Genomic DNA, 20,895 nt, shown 5'->3' on the forward strand with positions numbered 1-20,895 from the left:
TGGCCCTATTAAGGCAGAAATGGCAGAATTGGTTGTTGTTAAAGTCCTTGTAGTTTAGAATTTATAGTTTTTTGTTTGTTTGTTTTTTGTTTTTGATAGGGTCTCAGTCTGTTCCCCAGGCTAGAGTGCAGTGGCATGACCACAGCTCACTGCAGGCTCGACCTCCTGGGCTCAGGTGATCCTCTCATCTCAGCCTCCTGGGTAGCTAGGACTACTACAGGTGTGCGGCACAATGCCCAGCTAATTTTTGTATTTTTTTGTGGAGACAGGTTCTCTCTATGTTGCCCAGGCTGGTCTCAAACTCCTGGGCTCAAGCAATTTGCCTGCCTTAGCCTCCCAAAGTGCTGGGATTGTAGGCGTGAGCTACCTTGTGTGGCCTATGGTTCTTTTCTTTCTCCTTCTTTTTTTTTTTAAATTGAATTTATCAGTCTAAATGGTGTCATTACTTGAAACTACCTGATCTGAAAAGACACTAGGCAATATTATAGCAGGTATCACTTGGTTTTCTACTGGGGGAAACAAGTCATTGCTAACAAATTCCCATGGAGAGAAATGAGGAGGATGTATTTTTGTTTGTGAGAGGTGTGTATGTATGTATATTGTGTGTGCGTGTGTGTGTGTGTGAGAGAGAGAGATTGATTCAGTCTGATTCAGAGAATTTAGGTGTTAAATAGAAATTTGGGCCATGGTATTGGAAATAAACAAATATATACATTCTCAGTATACATATATTTTCATTCCAAAATGTTACTTCTTTTCTGATAACTATATTGCTTTATTCCTTGGATCCATGAAGAGTTCCTGTTTCAGTTCGTTCCAGAGGATACTTCTTTACCATCTCAATGAGATATACAGCTTCTCCTTTGTATGCATTAAGAGACTCACAGTAATTCTTTTTTAGCTCTGTGAAGATAAATCTTTCATGAGCCTCATTTACCCCTAGCAAGGTACAATAGTGAAATTTAACTGCATGTGAGAATATAAGCAGCTAGTGTAATAAAGAACATTTTGGGCCAGGTCTGATCGCTCATGCCTGTAATCCCAGCACTTTAGGAGGTCAAGGCGAGAGGATCACTTGAGCCCAGGAGTTCGAGACCAGCTTGGGCAACATGGCAAAACCCTGTCTCTACAAAAAATACAAAAATTGGGCAGGCATGGTGTCGACCCTGTCTCTACAAAAAATACAAAAATTAGCCAGACATGGTGGTGCACGCTTGTGGTCCCAGCTACTTGGGAGGCTGAGGTAGGAGGATTGCTTGAGCCCAGGAGGGGGAGGTTGCAGTGAGCTGAGATCGAGCCACTGCACTCCAGCTGGGGTGACAGAGCCAGACCTGTCTCGCTCTCTCTCTCTCTCTCTATATATATATTTAAAAAGAACATTTTAATACTGCAGTGATAAAATCTCATTTGATTCAGAAGGTGTGCTCTGACTCCTAGAAAAAGGAAGAGTTAAATATGATTATGGACTTGCAGTAGAGTGTAATGGTTAAGAGGATAGGTTTCAGAATTAGACTGCCTGGATTCAAATTCTGGATCAGTTATTTATGTTTTCTGGTGACAATGGACTAGCTAACTTTTCCAGGCTTTAGTTTTCTCATATGTAAAAAAGGGGCCAATAATCTACTTTCCTTCTAGGGCTATTGAGAAGATTAAATGTGATAATTTAGATAAGTTTTGGAACAGTGCCTGGTATGTGGTAGGTGCTCCATAAATATACCTATTGCCGTTACAGTGCAATGTAAATTGTTACAGTGCAATAGACTTTCTAGTAGTTCTGTTTGGAAATATGCCTTGAAAGTTAATTACATTTCCAAATAAAATTTATACATGCATTGAACATTTTAAGATGCTCTACAAATGTGAAGTGGTACTATATTCATGTAGTAAATATCAATTAATTGTGTGAAATTATATTTGAGGTTGCCTTGTAGATTTTCTATGTGCCTGTTTGACGAACAATTGTCCCTCCTATTTAAAACATTTAAAAAGGTTCTATAGCATTCCTTTATCAGTAATATTTTTAACACAATATGTTTCATTTTGCATATGGAGAAACTTGAGGAATTTTTAATTTTGTTTTGGATAGCCTATTCACTATCACTTATGTTATATTCTGTTGTTTTTTTCATGGTTCTTCTTTTCTTTGCTGGATCTGGAGGCATGGGTAGCAAGAAACTAAAACGAGTGGGTTTATCACAAGAGCTGTGTGACCGTCTGAGTAGACATCAGATCCTTACCTGTCAGGTAAATTTTATTTAACATTTTTATTGATAAGTTTTATGCACAAGTTAACTTTATACCTTAATACCTCTTAAACTTGAAATATGAAAATGTAGGCTTACAAAAAAAAGATAAATGATGGTGCTTTTCCATAGGCTAATTGTAAATATCAAGCCTCCTTGGGTGCATTTCCAACTGCTATTTCATTTACCCAAATTTAGTATTTTTGCATTTTGAGGGGAAAGTGGTCACGGCATAAGGTGAAGTAACAGCTTTACTGTTTTATAGTTACATGAGAAATAGGACTCAAATGAGGAGATACTATTCAACATGTATCATTTCTCTTAAAAGCAAAAGAAATTAATAGACCATTTTCTTATTGATGGAGCATGAGAAATATATAGAGCGGATCTTGCATTTTTAAGCAAGGTGGTGAAGCAAATCCTCCTTAGCAGGGTAAATAAGATTTAAAGGTTTTGGTTGGTTGTTTTTGTTCTTTGTTGTTTTTGAGACTAGGTTCTCATGCTGCCCCAGCTGATCTTGAACTCCTGGCCTTAAGCAATCCTCCAGCCTCAACTCCCAGCTAGCTGGGATTACAGGCACACACCACTGTGCCTGGCTAGATTTAAGGTTTTATCTTAGGATTTTATCCTTTTTTTGTTTGTTTGTTTAGAGTCAGTGTCTCACTCTGTTGCCCAGGCTGGAGTACAGTGGTGCCATATCGGCTCACTGCAATCTCCTCCTCCCCGGTTCAAGTGATTCTCCTGCTTCCATCTCCTGAGTAGCTGGGATTACAGGCACATGCCACCACACCCAGCTAATTTTTGGATTTTTAGTAGAAACGGGGTTTCACCATGTTGGCCAGGCTAGTCTCAAATTCCTGATCTCAAGTGATCCGCCTCCCTCAGCCTCCCAAAGTGCTAGCATTACAGACATGAGCCACCGTGCCTGGCCTGATTTTATCTTTAATAAGACATTTTCACAGAGCATTCTGCAATTTTTTTTTTGAATTGCTTTCTGTGTTAAAGATAACATCGGTTCCTTTGTTATACATTTAATTATTTGCATATTTATACTCGGAAACATTCTTAAAAGTATGAAATTTGTTATTTCATCCTATAGTCAGTTTCATTCTTTTTCAACTACGAAATATTATCTCTGAGTGAACTTCTAGCTTAGAAAGAAACTCTTTCGGCCGGGCACGGTGGCTCACACCTGTAATCCCAGCACTTTGGGAGGCCGAGGTGGGCAGATCATGAGGTCAGGAGTTCGAGACTAGCCTGGCCAATATGGTGAACTCTTGTCTCTACTAAAAATAAAAAAAATTAGCCAGGCATGGTAGTGAGTGCCTGTAGTCCCAGCTACTCAGGAGTCTCAGGCAGAAGAATCGCTTGAACCCAGGAGGTGGAGGTTGCAGTGAGCCGAGATCGTGCCACTGCACTCCAGCCTGGGCGACAGAGCAAAACTCTTGTCTCAAAAAAAAAAAAAAAAAAAAAAAAAAAAAGGAAAGAAACTCTTTCAACCTGACACTTTCTGGGCATATATTTATACCCAAATTCTTTTTGGCACAAGTGTAGCGCTCATACGCACCTGGATTGGATGCTGGTGCTATGTGATATTATTTGGTGTATCCTCTGGTATATGCCAACTAAACAGGATAATTAGAAGATAAGTTTGTGTCATTACAACTTTTAGTTAAGGCATATTTATGGGGAAAATACTACAATGAATGTATAAATCTTTGATCTGCGATAAATTATACTTTTGTCTACATAAGCAGTATCAATTGAAGGTTTCCTTTTAACTCTAGTATCTTTGTTACACATATATGTTTAAAATACTCTCTTTATGTTTCTTTAGGACTTTTTATGTCTTTCCCCACTGGAGCTTATGAAGGTGACTGGTCTGAGTTATCGAGGTGTCCATGAACTTCTATGTATGGTCAGCAGGGCCTGTGCCCCAAAGATGCAAACGGTATATTTATATTTTATTATGATTTGATTATGAATGATTCCTCATCTCATTAAACATGTTTTTTTAGGGATGAGGCACATGCAGAAATAGAGATGAGTACCTCAAAAATACTGAGTTTTCTACTATAGAAGTTAGTTCTCTAAGGAAAATACATGTGAAAATTTTTTTTTTCTTTTTTGAGACGCTCTGTTGCCCAGGCTGGAGGGCAGTTGCACGATCTCGGCTCACTGTAGCCTCTGCCTCCTGGGTTCAAGCGATTCTCCTGCCTCAGCCTCCTGAGTAGCTGGGATTACAGGCACGGTGCTACCAAGCCAACTTATTTTTATATTATTAGTAGAGATGGGATTTCACCTTATTGGCCAGGCTGGTCTCAAACTTCTGACCTCAAGTGATCTGCTTGCGTCGACCTCCCAAAGTCCTGGGATTACAGGCGTGAGCCACCGTGCCTAGCCTATGTGTGAAAAATTTATGTAGTTTATAAACTCATGGGAGACAATTTCTAAATATGGGAATTAGGGAGCAACAGAAAGTTTTTATTTTTTTTTCTATAGCCAATAGCAGTAGTTCAAAAGGTCATCTTTCTCTGATTGATTAGGTAGTATTTGATGGCCTCATAGTTAAATTATAATCTTAATTTTAGAATGCCCCTTTCTTTGATATACTGACCTTTACCATCATCACTTGCTCTAGATCATAAAGTACACATAATTGTACTTGTAGTTGCTTATTGATTGAATAAAAGGTAATTAAAAATTTATCCTTTACTCTTAAGAAAATTTGAAGTCTTTTACAAAAGCCCTCATCAAATTGTACATTTTTTCAGACTTTTTGTGTCATGACTGTAGCTTTTCAAAATGTAGATTTGGAGCATGATAGAAATATCTTGTTTTCTCACAGTAAGAGTTTCCTAAAATTCTGTTCGGTGCTTTGCAAATGTATTTATTTATGTGGACTGTAAGTTTCTTACCTTACTGCCTTATATTGAAATTTACTGAACACTGAACAATGAAGTACAATTCTCTGAAGAAGGGGAGAAGGAAGGAATGTTAGTGTCACTGGAAACTTCTAAAAACAATGAACAGATATTTGAACAACAGATATTTTCTTTCTTTTTTTTTTTTTTGAGATGAGGTCTGTCTCTATTTCTCTGGCTGGAGTACGGTGGTGTGATCTCGGCTCAGTGCAGCCTCCGCCTCCTGGGCTCAAGCCATCCTCCCACCGCAGCCTCCCGAGTGGCTGGGACTACAGGTGCACACCACCATGCCCAACTACGTTTTGTGTTTTTTGTAGAGATGGGGTTTTGCCACATAGCCTAGACTGTTCTTGAACTTATGAGCTCAAGTGATCCTCCCGCCTCGGCCTCCCCAAGTGCTGGGATTACATCAGCCACTGTGCCTGGCCAAACAACAGATATTTTCTTTTGTTCAGATTTAGCTTGTGATCTGAGGAAAATATTTTAAAGACAGGATAGTCAGAAGGAGAATCAGAACTGGAGTTAGAAACTGGCATTAGTCTTAGCTTTATCATTGATTTCATTGCTTGAACAGCTTTCTTTTATGGGAGAAAACAGAAGTTAAAATACTATGCAATGATTCTGTGACTAGATTCAAATTAACTTGTTATTATTTTGAAGGTTGTAAAGCACCAGAAAAACCTTTAATTTGTCATCTGTCATTCTAATTAGTCAATATCCATGGCATATTTCCCGTTAATAAATAGAGAGCATGGTCCCGAAATTCAACTTTAATTTCTACTTCCATCACTACCTTCAGCTGCCATCTTAATACAATTCCAAATACAGTTCAAGAAACCATCTTTCTCCTATGGTTTACATTCATTCTTGTAGCATTCCTTATATTTCAGCACTGCCCTAAACACTGGCTTAGTTTTTTTTTTTTCCAACTTTTATTGTAAGTTCCGGGGTACATGTGCAGGATGTGCAGGTTTGTTACATAGGTAAATGTGTGCCATGGTGGTTTGCTGTATGGATCATCCTATCACCTAGGTATTAAGCTCAGCGTCCATTAGCTATTCTTCCTGAAGCTCTCCCTCTCCCCCACAACCTCGCAACAGGCCCCAATGTGTGTTGTTCCCTTCCGTGTGTCCATGTGTCCATGTGTTCTCATCGTTCAGCTCCCACTTATAAGTGAGAACACACAGTTTTTGGTTTTCTGTTCTTGCATTAGTTTGCTGAGGATGATGGCTTCCAACTCCATCCATGCCCCTGCAAAGGACATAATCTCATTCCTTTTTATGGCTGCACAGTATTCCATTGTGTATACGTACCACATTTTCTTTATTCAGTCTATCATTGATGGGCATTTGGGTTGATTTCATGTCTTTGCTATTGTGAATAGTGCTGCAATGAACATATGTGTGCATGTATATTTATAATAGAATGATTTGTATTCCTTTGGGTATATACCTGGTAACGGCATTGCTGGTTCAAATGGTATTTCTGCCTCTAGGTCTTTGAGGAATTGCCACACTGTCTTCCACGATGGTTGAATTAATTTACACTCCCACCAACAGTGTAAAAGCATTCCTATTAGTCTGCAACCTCACCAGCATCTGTTGTTTCTTGACTTTTTAGTAATTGCCATTCTGATTGGTGTGAGATGGTATCTCATTGTGATTTTGATGTGCATTTCTCTAATGATCAGTGATGTTGAGCTTTTTTTTTCTATGTTTGTTGGCTGCATGAATGTCTTCTTTTGAAAAGTATCTGTTCATGTTCTTAGCCCACTTTTTAATGGGGTTGTTTGGTTTTTTTTTTCTTGTAAATTTGTTTAAGTTCCTTATAGAGTCTGGATATTAGACCTTTGTCGGATGGATAGATTGAAAAAATTTTCTCCCATTTTCTACCATGATAGTTTCTTTTGCTATGCAGAAGCTCTTTAGTTTAATTAGATCCCACTTGTCAATTTTGCTTTTGTTCCAATTACTTTTGGCATTTTTGTCATGATATCTTTGCTTGTGCCTATGTTCTGAATGGTATTGCCTAGATTTTCTTCAAGGTTTTGTTTTTTTTCCTATAGTTTTGGATTTTACATTCAAGTCTTTAATCCATTTTGAGTCAATTTTTGTGTAAAGTGTAAGGAAGGGGTCCAGTTTCAGTTTCCTCATATGGCTAGTCAGTTCTCCCAGCATCATTTGTTAAATAGGCAATCCTTTCCCCATTGCTTGTTTTTATCAGGTTTGTTGAAGATAAGATGGTTGTAGGTGTGCGGTCTTATTTCTGAGTTCTTCTGTTCCATTGGTCTATGTGTCTGTTTTTGTATCAGTACCATACTGTTTTGGTTACTAGAGTCTTGTAGTATAGTTTGAAGTTGGATAGCATGATGCCTGCAGCTTCATTCTTTTTGCTTTGGATTGTCTTGGCTATACAGGCTCCTTTTTGGTTTCATATGAATTTTAAAATAGCTTTTTAAAATTCTGTGAAGAATGTGAATGGTAGTTTAATGGGAATAGCATTGAATCTATAAATTACTTTGGGCAATATGGCCATTTTCATGATATTGATTCTTCCTATCCATGAGCATAGAATGTTTTTCCATTTGTTTGTGTCCTCTCTGATTTCTTGGAGCAGTGGTTTGTAGTTCTGCTTGAAGAGGTCCTTCACATCCCTTGTTAGCTATATTTATTGCTAGGTATTTTCTTTTCTTTCTTTCTTTTTTTTTTTTGAGACAGAGTCTTGCTCTGTCGCCGAGGCTGGAGTGCAGTGGCACAATCTTGGCTCACTGCAAGCTCTGCCTCCTGGGTTCACGCCATTCTCCTGCCTCAGCCTCCCAAGTAGCTGGGACTACAGATGCCCACCTCCACGCCTGGCTAAGTTTTTGTATTTTTAGTAGAGACGGGGTTTCACCATGTTAGCCAGGATGGTCTCGATCTCCTGACCTCATGATCCGCCCGCCTCGGCCTCCCAAAGTGCTGGGATTACAGGCGTGAGCCACTGTGCCCGGCCCAGTATTTTATTTTCTTTGTAGCAATTGTGAATGGAGTTCATTCATAATTTGGCTCTCTGCTTGCCTGTTGTTGGTGCATTGGCTTAGTTTTAGTTCATTTCTTCAGGAAATTTTTTTTGCTCATTTATTCAGTCATTTATTCTTTTGACCTGTATTTACTGAATGTCAAGCATGTATTAGGTACTTTGTCAGGCACCAAGGCTATCATGGTGAACAAGTTTATACAGTCCAGCCCTCTTGTAGTTTACAGTCTAGTGGGGGAAGCCAGACATTAAAATATTAATTCAGAAATAATTAGTTAATTATAATAGTGCTAAATCCTATGAAGGAAAAGCATAAGGTACTTTGAAACTTTATAATAGGGATTACTTAGTTTGGGGGTCAGGAGGACCCTTGCAAGGAAGCAATACTTTAGCTAAAACATGAAAGATGAATAGGTGAGAGATAGGCAAAGGAGCTGGGAAGGGAGATGGGCAGGGAAGAGTTATTGGGCGTTGGGTATAACAGATGCAAAGGCCCTGGGAAGTGAAGGAGAATGGGGCTTGCGTGAGTGGGTCATAACAACGAAGAAGAGAGTGGTAAGAGATGAAGCCAGAGAAGTAAGCAGGAGTCAGATTATTAGGGCTTTGATTTGGACTTTATTCCAAGAGCAATGGAAACTCATAAAAGGGTATACTGTAATATGTGTTTTAAAAAAAATCAGTCTTGGACATGGACAAGTGATTGAAAAGGAGCAATAAAATATTCACGAAGATTAGTTAGGTACCTATTACTGTATTCCAAACAAAAAGTGATGGTGACTTATATTATTAATGCAGAGGTTATAGTGTTGATTAATATGACAGATATTTAGGAGGGATAATTTTTGTTTTTTTTTGAGACAGAGTCTCGCACTGTTGCCCAGGCTGGAGTGCAGTGGTGCGATCTTGGCTCACTGCAATCTCTGCCTTCTGGGTTCCAGCAATTCTTGTGCCTAAGCCTCCTCAGTAGCTGGGACTACAGACATGCACCATCACACCTGGCTAATTTTTGTATTTTTAGTAGAGATGGGGTTTTGCCATTGTCCAGGCTGGTCTCAAACTGCTGGCCTCAAGCAATCCACCCACCTCAGCCTCCCAGTGTGCTGGGATTACAGATGTGAGCCACTGTGCTGAGCCTAGGAGAGAGAATTAATGGGATTTGGTGATTGTTTGGCTGAGGTGGTGGTGAAGTATAGGAAAATGTCAGAGATGATTCTCTGACTTTTGCTTTGAGAAACTGAGTGGTACCATTTCCTGAGATCAGGAATACTGGAAGAGGAGCAGGTTTGAGGGAGGCAGATCATAGATTCAATTTAGTACTTGTGTAATTTTTTTTTTTTTGAGATGGAGTTTCGCTCTTGTCACCCAGGCTGGAGTGCAATGGTGAGATCTCGGCCCAGGCTCCCACGTTCAAGTGATTCTCCTGCGTTAGCCTCCCGAGTAGCTGGGATTACAGGCACCCACCACTATGCCCGGTTAATTTTTTATATTTTTAGTAGAGACGGTTTCAGCATGTTGGCCAGGCTGGTCTCGAACTCGTGACCTCAGGTGATCCACCTGCCTCAGCCTCCCAAAGTGCCGGGATTACAGGCGTGAACCACCGCCCCCGGCCAGTACTTGTCTAATTTAAGATGTTTATAAAACATTTAGTGAAGATGGGAAATAGGCAGTTAAATATATGGACCTGGACTTTGAAGGCGAGGCATGCACGTGGGAGTCATTGGTGTAAATATGATAGTTAAAGCTATCAGAATGGATGAGTGATTGCCTATAAAGTGCATACAGTAAGACGATAAGTGTACTTAAGCCTGAAACCTGAGTGATGCCAACAGTTACAGGTCAGATTAGATGATAATGAGTCTGAGAAGAAGCAGCCACCGAAGTAGAAGAAAAATTGGTAGTGTCATATCACAAAACTCTTCTTTGTCTCATTTATATACATACTACTTTTCTGAAGTTTTGTTCTGTTAGTTCATTTTATTCCTTTTTTTGAGATGGAGTTTTGCTCTTGTTGCCCAGGCTGGAGTGCAGTGGCGTGATCTTGGCTCACCGCAACCTCCGCCTCCCGGGTTCAAGTGATGATCCTGCCTCAGCCCCCTGAGTAGCTGGGATTACAGGCATGTGCTACCATGCCCAGCTAATTTTTTTTTTTTGTATTTTTAGTAGAGATGGGGTTTCTCCATGTTTGTCAGCCTGGTCTGGAACTCCGGACCTCAGGTGATACGCCGGCCTCGGCCTCCCAAAATGCTGGGATTACAGGCGTGAGCCACCACACCCAGCTGATTATTCTTTTTTTGACTTACCGAATCTATTATTCTAGAAATTACACTTAAAATTGTAAGTGAAGTGCTTTAATTTTGACAGATTGGGCTGCCTTTGCATGTTTGAGAAAGTATCCCCACATGCATCCACGTTGCCTGATGATAGGTTATAGAAAAAAATGTCTACGTAAGGATGCCGACTGAAATATTTCTTATATCAAAAAATTGGAAACAATAATAATAGGAAGGAGATAAATTATATTACATTTATGTTAGGGAATATTATGTAGGCACTAAAATCTTTAAAAAATATTTGTTTGTTTATTGATTTTTACAGAGGCAAGGTCTTGCTATGATGCCCAGGCTGGTCTTGAAATCCTGGCTGCAAGTGATCCTCCTGCCTTAGCCTCCCAAAGTGCTGGGATTACAGGCATGAGCCATCATGCCCAGCCAATAATTTTTAATAACAGGAGAAATGCACAGGATATAAATGGTTAGTGAAAAAAGCAGGCTACAAAATTGTATATAGTATACATGCCAATTTTATAAAAATGACCGTTATAAAGGTATTTGGTGTATATTGTTAATAATGGTTATCTCAGGATTGTGGAATTTTTTACTGTTCTGTTTTCTTTAACTTTTTTTTTCATTCCAAATTTGCTTTAGGTATGTTATGTTCTTTAGGAAAAAAGCAGCAACAGTTCTTGTTTGTCCCCTTGCAGTAATATCTGGCAATTCTCTTAGTCTCAGTTTTTTTACCATTTGCGAAATGGAGATAATTATACCTGTGTGTAAATGAAATAATGTATGTAAAGTACTTAATACAGCACATAGTAGATGTGCAACAGATGTTCATTAGCTTCCTGTCCTTGCCTTTTCCTTACTGTTCATGATTCCTGAATCACAGCAATATCTAAGAGGAGCTGATGTTATTTGCTCCATATCCTAGCATAGTGACTGGACAGTGCCCTGGAGCAGGCAAAACTAAACTGAAATGTAAAGCAGACCATTAACAAAGGGAGGTTGTCAAAAGCCCTTAAAAGAATAAAAGGAACATTAGAAAATAAACATCTTTTAAAAATCAGGTAAAATTTTAATATCCCAGAAGATTAATAAAAGTAATTAAAAAAACAATTTTCCTTATAGAGTATTAACTTTTGTAGTTCTAAATACATCAGAATGATCAAAACCAACAAATGAAATCACCAGAATTCTTTGTATAATTTCTTGTGGACAAACACAACACCAAGGATAAGAAAGGAGAATTTCGGGCCAGGTGCAGTGGCTCACACCTGTAATCCCAGCACTTTGGGAGGCCGAAGTGGTCAGGTCACTTGAGGGCAGGAGTTCGAGACCAGCCTGGCCAACATGGCAAAACCCCGTCTCTACTAAAAATACAAAAATTAGCCGGGTCTGGTGGCAGGCACCTGTAATCCCAGTTACTTGGGAGGCTGAGGCAGGAGAATTGCTTGAACCCAGGAAGTGGAGGTTGTAGTGAGCTGAGATCGCATCACTGCACTCCAGCCTGGGTGACAGAGTGAGACTCTGTCTTGAACAAAAAAAAGGAGAATTTCAGAATTGTATTATATTGGAAAAACTTCAGATATGTAGTGTTTCTCCCCTTGTTCACAGGGAATATGTTTCAAGACCCTCAGTGGATGTTTGAAAATTTGGATAGTACTAAACTCTATGTATACTATGTTTTTTGGATCTGATAACTGAGATGATAACTGAGATACTGACTAATGGGCAGGGAGTGTCTACAGTGTGTATACACTTGGCAAAGGGATGATTCACATCCAGGTGGGATGATGTGAGATTTCACCATGCTACTCAGACCTGTGTGCAATTTAAAACTTATGAATTATTTCTGGAATTATCCATTTAATATTTTCAGATCAATGTTGACCAGGGGTAACTGAAACATGGGAAGTGAAACCGTGGATAAGGGGGACTGTTGTACTGTGTACCTGGGTTTAGATATAGTTGCTAGTACCAAAAGTTTTTATCCCCACTACTATTACCTTCTTCTAGCTACCATTATTTTTCTTTGGAATGACTGTAACGTCTTCCTGACAGATCTCCCAGCTTCAAGCTGTTCTTCACAAACTAATCTGAGTATGTCTTTGAAATTATAATTTGTTGTATTAGTTTCCTGTGGCAGTTCTAATACAAATCACACCCTGGGTGGCTTCAGACAACAGAAATTTATTCTCTTACAGTTTTGGAGTTCAGAGGTTCAAAATTAAGGTGTAGGCAGAGCTGCATTCTCTCCAGAGGTTCTAGGGGATTATCCGTTCCTTGCCTCTTTCAGCTTTTGGTGGCCATTAACATTCCTTGGCTTGTGGCTGCTTCTCTCTCTATACCATCTTCACATAACCTTTTCCTGTGTGTATTGAATTCCCTCTGCCTCTCTTATTAGTGTGGGTATTTAGGGTCCATCTGGATAATCCATGATTATCCCTTCATCTCAAGAGCTTTAACTTAATCACATCTGCAAACACCCATTTTGCAAATAAGGTAATATTCACAGACAGGTTCTGGAGATTTGATTTGGATATCCAGGGGTGGGGGTGGGGGGTCATTTCTCAGCCTACCACACCTTCCTTCACACTGTTCTTCACAAACGAACCCAAGTTTGAAATAACTTGTTCATGTCACTCCTTTTTGCATCTTCAACAGAGCTGTTTATGGTTAGGCCCCTGCTTACTTCTCTAGCCTCATTGCTTGCTGTGCTACACCCACACTCCATCTTTCAACCATTCTAAATGAACTGTATATTTACAGTTTGTGTTAGTCCCTGTTTCCTCTCTTGCTTCTTGACCTTTCTTTGTACATTCTGTCCTCTTTGGCAGGAATAGTCAAATTTCCTTTGCTTACCTAACAGCTCTTTCAGATTTTAGCACGGGCATCCAGCAATTCCATTAAGTTTCCAAAATCTGTATCAGTTATACTTTCCCTATTACAATATCTCTTATTAATTGTGTTGTAATTGCCTGGTTTCTAGTCCTAATTTCATAGTCCCTGGTTGACTTCATAAGACTGTGAGGGCAACGTCTCTCTCTTTCTGTTATGTCATATCCCCATAATCTAGCACAGTCCCTGGCACAGAGTAAATATTTGTTGAACAAATAAATAATAGAAGGGAAAAGGATGGATTAGGGTTAAAATTGCTAAAATTTAGAGAATTAAAGTTGGTTTATGTTTTTGAATATATATAGAGGTTGAAAAAAAACTTAATCATTTTCTTGTTTAGGCTTATGGGATAAAAGCACAAAGGTCTGCTGATTTCTCACCAGCATTCTTATCTACTACCCTTTCTGCTTTGGACGAAGCCCTGCATGGTGGTGTGGCTTGTGGATCCCTCACAGAGGTAAAGGAAAAATTTTTCGTACCTTCTTCCATTGACCTATAACCTTCAGAGCTAGGGAAAAAGTTTAGTTAAAAAACATAAATTATTTCTGGAACGGTAATCTGAATTAAATTATAAGTACTTCAAGGATATGGTTCTCCACTCAGTACTTAGTGTGGTTGTTCTGCAAACAGAGGTGTTAAAAACAAAATCCTTGCTGACTGATTAAAATCTACTTAGGTTGCTGTTTCATTGAGTTAACTTAGAAAGTGATAAATATTGCTGGGTGTGTTTATATATGTGTTATATATATAATGCATACATATATGTTATATATACATACATGCATACATACATTTATATGTACACACGTCACATATATGTAATATATACACATATGTCATATATGTAATATGTATGCACATAAATAACATTATATATTTTATATATATGATTATATCATGCCTGTAATCCCAGCACTTTGAGCAACAAGGCAAGACCCTGTCTTTACCAAAAAAAAAATAAAAAAAACCCAGAAACCATTTAGCCATATGTGGTGGTGCATGCTTATGGTCCTAGCTACTCAGGAGGCTGACCTTGAGCCAGGGAGGTCAAGGCTAGAGTGAGCCATGGTCACACCACTGCATTCCAGCCTGGGTGACAGAGCAAGACCCTGTCTCAAAAAAAAGAAAGTGGTAAATATTATGAAATAATATTATGAAACAATTGGGGGAATTAAAAAAGGATCACTCCTTATAAATTAGGAAGGACAATTTGAAATTTTATTAACATATGGAAAAATTATAGTATTAAACTAAAGTGAGCTGTTTTTACTTTCTGTTATAGATAAAATTTCTTTTAGGAAGTGATAGGTTATTGGATTAGTTAATACTGTTGGATAACAAATTATCCCAAAACTAAGTGGCTTAAAACAATAAACTTTGGTTATTTCTTAGTTTCTTTGTGAGTGGCTTAGCTCAGCATTGTTGGTGAGGGATGCAGTCATCTGAAGCTTGGTAGGGGCTGTAGGATCTGTTTCTGAGGGGCCCACTTACATGACTGGCAAATGGGTGCTGGTGGTTGGCAGGAGGCCACAGTGCCTCACCAGGTAGGCTCTCCACAGGCTTCTTGAGTCTTATGACATGATGGCTGACTTCCCCCAGGTGAGTGGTCTTGAAGAAGGCAAGATGGAAGTGGTGATATCTTTGGCAACCTAGCTTTGGAAGTTACACACCACTACTTCTGCCACTTTTCGTCATTAGAAGTGAGTCATTAAGTCAAGCCTACATTTAAGGAAAGGGAAATTAGCCTCTTTTTTTTTTTTTTTTGAGACAGAGTCTTGCTCTGTTGCCCAGGCTGAAGTGCAGTGGCACAATCTTGGCTTACTGCAACCTCTGCCTCCCAGGTTCAAGTGAGTAGCTGGGATTGCAGGCATGTATCACCATGCCTGGCTAATTTTTTGTATTTTTACTAGAGATGGGGTTTCACCATGTTGTCCAGGCTGGTCTCAAACTCCTGGCCTCAGGTGATCCACCCACCTGGGCCTCCCAAAGTGCTGGGATTACAGGTGTGAGCCACTACACCTGGCCAACCTTTTGGAGGAAGAAGTGTCAGGAATTTGAGGACATTTTAAAACCACTGCAGTTATTTTCCTTGAAAACTGCTTACAATGTGGTGACTTCATAGACAATGTTTATCAATACACTCCTGAGGACTTCTTGCTTGAAAGTTCTAGGGGCATAAATACTTTCAGGAAACTTCTAAACAAGAACAGATTATTTTCTTACATTCTGATAGTCATAATTTAACTGTGGATTTTTTTTCCTTGGAGATAGGGACCCTGTTTTAGATACTATATTTTATTTCCTGTCTTCCAAGAGAGATTTAAAGATTTATATGAGCAACACCTAGCAGATGCCTATTAAATAGTTGGTAAATAAATGCGTGAATTAGTTATTAATAAAAATGCACACACACACATACACACACACACACGCACACACACACACATCCTCTTCTTTTGGAATATACTGCCACCAGGTGGTGCCAGAATCACATGATTTTACATAAACTTTTTGGGCTGAAGTTCCACTTGCTTAAACAAGGTTTATTACAGTGTGATCCACAGTCATAAACTTACTTATTTAAATAGCAAAAACATTGAACTTAAGGAAGATTAACTGGGAAATTCTTTTTACTTTTTAAGTTTTAGAATAATTTTTAATACTTTTTCACTTAGCTTTTATTAATTATTTTTTAAAATCCAAACAGAAGTTACAAGCCTTTTAGGTGTTTTGTTGTTATCTAATTGGCTGACTTGGAATAGGAATATAAATACTTTGACTCCTTAGTAGGGGCAAATTCTCTCCTTTCTGTTCTAGCTACAGGTAGCTTCTTCAATCTTTTTTGTTTTTTGTTTTTCAACTGAGTACAGGGAGTATATCAAATTATCCTCAAACAGAGTTTTTTTTGCTTTTATTACAATTTTTAATTGATACAATAATTGTATATATTTATGGGGTACAGTGTGATATTCTGATATGTGTGTGCAATGTATAATGATCAAATCAGGTAATTGGCATATCCATCACTTCAAGCATTTATCATTTTTTGTGTGTGTTCGGAACATCCAAAAGCCCCTCTTCTAGCTATTTGAAAATATATAATAAATTGTTGTAAATTATAGTTTACCTAAGGTGCTATAGAAAACTAAGACTTATTCCTCCTGTCTTGCTATAATTTTGTAACTGCTAACCAACCTTTGGCTGTCTCCCTCTAACCATCTCAGCCTCTAATAACCACTATTCTACTCTCCACTTCTATGAGATCAATTTTTTTAGCTTCTACATGTGAGTGAGAACATGCAAGGTTTGTCTTTCTGTGTCTGACATTTTACTCAACATAATGACCTTGAGTTCCATCCATGTTGTTAGAGATGACAGAATCTCATTCTTTTTTATGGCTGAAATAGTACTCCATTGCATGTATGTACCACATATTTATCCATTTGTCTGCTGATGGACACTTAGGTTGATTCCATCTCTTGGGTACTGTGAATAGTGCTGCAATAAAAATGGGAGCGTAGATTGACATACTGATTTCATACTGTGTATCATACATGCGCATGCACATACACACATGTGGAGGTAAGAGAGAGCTAGCAAAACGATAAAGTAAATTGGGCAAAATGTTAACGGTGGGTGGATGTGGGAAAAGAATGCATATATATATTCTGTATTGTTTTTATTTATTTTTAATTTATTTTTATTTTAAATTAAAAAAAAAGATACATGGTCTAGCTGTGTCACCTAGGCTGGAGTGCAGTGGCACAACCATAGCTCACTGCAGCTTCAAACTCCTGGGCTGAAATGATCCTCCTTCCTCAGCCTCCCAAGTAGCTAGGACTACAGGTGTGCACCACCATGCCTGGCTAATTTTTTAAAATGTTTTGTAGAGATGAGGGCTTGCTATGTTGCCCAGACTGGTCTTGAACTCCTGACCTCAAGTGATCCTTTCTGCCCTGGCCTCCCAACGTGTTGGGATTACAGGTGTGAGCTACTGCGCCTGGCCTTCTGTTTTTATTAATACCATTTTCCTGTAAGTTTAAAATTATTTCTAGATAAAAAAGTAAAAAAAAAAAAACCTGTGATGTTTGCTGTAAGTAGATATCCTTGATCAGAAATAAAGAACTTTCCTCCATTTCCTAGCTAAAATACTAATTTGGTGTTACATTTTATCAAAAACTTTTTTTTCTGCATTGATTGAAATGATTGTATTATTTTTCATCTTTGGTCTAATAGCATGGTGAGAAACATTTAATAGATTTTTCTGATGTTAAACTACTATTGCATTTTTGGGACAAGTTCAACTTGGTCATGATATATTATCTTTTTTTATAAACTGTTGGATTCAGTTTGCTAATATTTAAGATTTTTCAATATTTAGGATGGATATTCAGCTGTAATTTTCCTTTTAGTAGTGTCTTTGTCTGAATTAGTATTTATCTTATACTAGTTTGGTAGAATGGATTATGGAATATCTCTTTTTTTAATATTCTGCAATAGTTTGCCTATGATGGGAATTATTTGTTCCTTGAAGATTTGGTAGAACTTGTCTGAAAAATTGTCTGATCTTGATATTTTTCCTTCTGAGAAGATTTTTTAAAAATTCAATTCCTTTAATGATTATAGGACTACTCAGATTTTCTATTTCTTCTTGATTAGTTACAGTGAATGAGATTTTTAGGAATTTGTCCATTTTCTTTATGTTTTCAAATTTATTATAATAAAGTTATTCATTACAATCTTCCAGCTCTTAAATCTGGTTTTACATGTGGTTTTTGTCCCCCTTTCCATTTCTGATATTACTTACTTTGTTTTATTTCTCCCTCTCTTTTAAAAAAAATCTTGTCAGAAGTTTGAGTATGTATGTCATCATTTTAAAGAACTCTGCATTTTGTTGTTCTTTGTTGGTCTTCTCTATTATTTCTTCATCTTCTACCTCCTTTATTTCTGCCATTTTCTTATTATCTCCTTTTATTTAATTTTTTTGTGGGGTTATTCTTTGCTTCTAACTTCTTAAATTAGATATTTAATCTATTAATTTTCAGTTTTTCTTTTTACTCTGACCTTTTAAGACTGAATTTTTCTTGAAGCATTCTATTTTGAGATATAGTATTTCCATTTTCATTCTGTTCTAGAAGTATTTAAACATTCCCATCACAATTGCTTCTTTGACTCATGTATCATTTGGAATTTTAAAATATCTAAATTACTTAATTAAAAAAATTTATTTTAATTACATTATTAATCTAATTGCATTTTTGTCAGATAACTTTGCATGATATTGATTTTTTGAAGTTCCCTGAGACATCTTTTAAGGTTAAATATGTGATGAACTTTGATAAATGTTGCACGTGTGCTTGAAAAGAATGATTATTCTCTAATAATTGGGTGCCCTATTTTATTTTAGGTTCAGGGGGTATATGTACAGGTTTGTTACATTGGTATATTGCGTGATGCTGAGGTTTGGGGTACGATTTATACCATCTCTCAGCTACTGAACATAGTCCCCAATAAGTAGTTTTTTTAGCCTTTTTCCCTGCTCCCTTCTTCCTCCTTCTAATAATCTCCAGTGTTGATTGTTCCCATCTTTGTGTCCATGTATACCCAATGTTTAGCTCCCACTTATAAGTGAGAACATGCAGTCTTTGGTTTTCTGTTCCTGTGTTAATTCACTTAGGATAATGACCAAGAGCTGCATCCATGTTGCTGCAAAGGACATGATTTTGTTCTTTTTATGGCTGTGTAGTAGTCCATGGTATATATTTACCACATTTTCTTTATCTACTCTACCATGGATGGGCACTTAGGTTGATTCCATGTCTTTGCTATTGTGGATACTGTGGCAGTGAACATACGAGTGCATATGTCTTTTTGGTAGAGTGATTTATTTTCCTTTGGGTATATATCCAGCAATGAGATTGCTGGCTCAAATGGTAGCTCTGTTTTAAGTTCTTTGGGAGATCTCCAAACTCCTTTGCACAGTGATTGAACTAATTTATATTTCCACCTACAGTGTATAAGCATTCCATTTTCTCTGCACCCTTTCCAGCATCTATTATTTTTTGACTTTTTTTTTTTTTTTGGGACAGAGTCTCATTCTGTTGCCCAGCCCGGAGGGCAGTGGCACTTTTGGCTCACTGCAACCTCTGCCTCCCAGGTTCAAGTGATTCTCGTGCCTCAGCCTCCTGAGTAGCTGGGATTACAGGTGTGTGCTACCATGCCCAGCTAATTTTATTTTTTAGTAGAGATGGGGTTTCACCATGTTGGCCAGGCTGGTCTCAAACTCCTGGCCTCAAGTGATCCGCCCACCTCAGCCTCCCAAATTGCTGAGATTATAGGCATGAGCCACTGTGCCTGGCCATTTTGACTTCTTAATAATAGCCATTCTGGCTGGTGTGAGATGGTATCTCATTGTGGTTTTGATTTGCATTTCTCTAATGATTAGGGATGTTGAGCATTTTATATTTGATGGCCACATGTATGTCTTCTTTTGAGAAGTGTCTGTTCATGTCCTTTACCCACTTTTAATGGGGTCATTTTTTGCTTGTTGATTTGTTTAAGTTCCTTATAGAATCTGGATATTAGACCTTTGTCACATGCCTAGTTTGTGAATATTTTCTCCTATTCTGTAGGGCGTCCATTTATTCTGTTGATAGTTTCTTTTGCTGTGCAGAAGCTCTTTAGTTAGGTACCACTTGTCAATTTTTGTTTTTGTTACAATATTTTTGAGGTCTTAGCCATTAGTTCTTTGCCAAGGCTGATGTCCAGAATGGATTTTCCTTGGTTTTCTTCTAGGATTTTTATGGGTTGGGTCTTAGATTTAAATTGTTGATCCATCTTGAGTTAATTTTTGTAAATGGTAAAAGGTAGGGGTCCAGTTTAATTATTCTGCATATGGCTAGCTGGTAATCTCAGCAGCATTTATTGAATAGGAAGTCCTTTCCCCATTTTTTTATTTTCGTTGACTTTGTCAAAGATCAGAGGTTGTAAGTGTGTGGTTTCATTTCTGGGTTCTCTATTCTGTTCCATTGATCACTATGTCTGTTTTTGTACCAGTACCATGCCGTTTTGGTTGCTATAGTTTGAAGTCAGGTAGTGTGATGCCTCTAGCTTTGTTCTCTTTGCTTAGGATTCCCTTGGCTTTTCAGACTCTTAACTTCCCATATGAATGTTAGAATAGTTTTTTCTAATTCTGTGAAAAATGACATTGGTAATTTGAATCTGTACATTGCTTTGGGAAATATGCCATTTTAACGGTATTGATTCTTCAAATCCATGAGTATGGAATGTTTTTTCATTTGTTTGTATCATCTATGATTTCTTGTAGCAGTGTTTTGTAGTTCTCCTTCCAAAGATCGTTCACCTCCTTGGTTAGATGTATTCCTAGATATTTTATTTTTTTTGTGTAGCTATTGTAAATGGGATTGTATTCTTGACTTGGCTCTCAGCTGGAATGTTATTGGTGTATAGAAAAGCTACTGATTTTTGTGCATTGATTTTGTAGCCTTCAACTTTACTAAAGTCATTTATCAGTTCTGG

At 37.9% G+C, this 20,895-nt stretch overlaps 1 protein-coding gene across 12 annotated transcripts in view; it reads left to right on the forward strand.

Annotated features, from left to right (window-relative positions):
- RAD51B (RAD51 paralog B) overlaps nucleotides 1-20,895 on the forward strand; it is an 863,318-nt gene that overhangs the window by 1,605 nt on the left and 840,818 nt on the right. For 10 of the 12 annotated variants that reach the window (NM_001321818.2, NM_001321809.2, NM_001321821.2 and 7 more), the window contains exons 2-4: nucleotides 2,159-2,244; nucleotides 4,081-4,194; nucleotides 13,697-13,813. In NM_001321818.2, the coding sequence (NP_001308747.1) occupies nucleotides 2,161-2,244; nucleotides 4,081-4,194; nucleotides 13,697-13,813 (315 nt within the window). In that variant the 5' untranslated portion in view covers nucleotides 2,159-2,160. Of the gene's footprint in view, nucleotides 1-2,157; nucleotides 2,245-4,080; nucleotides 4,195-13,696; nucleotides 13,814-20,895 lie in introns of those variants that run through there. The other 2 variants (NM_001321812.1, NM_001321815.1) reach the window with 2 other exon arrangements.

This window comes from Homo sapiens, chromosome 14, assembly GCF_000001405.40.
Source record: "Homo sapiens chromosome 14, GRCh38.p14 Primary Assembly".
NCBI lineage: Eukaryota > Metazoa > Chordata > Mammalia > Primates > Hominidae > Homo > Homo sapiens.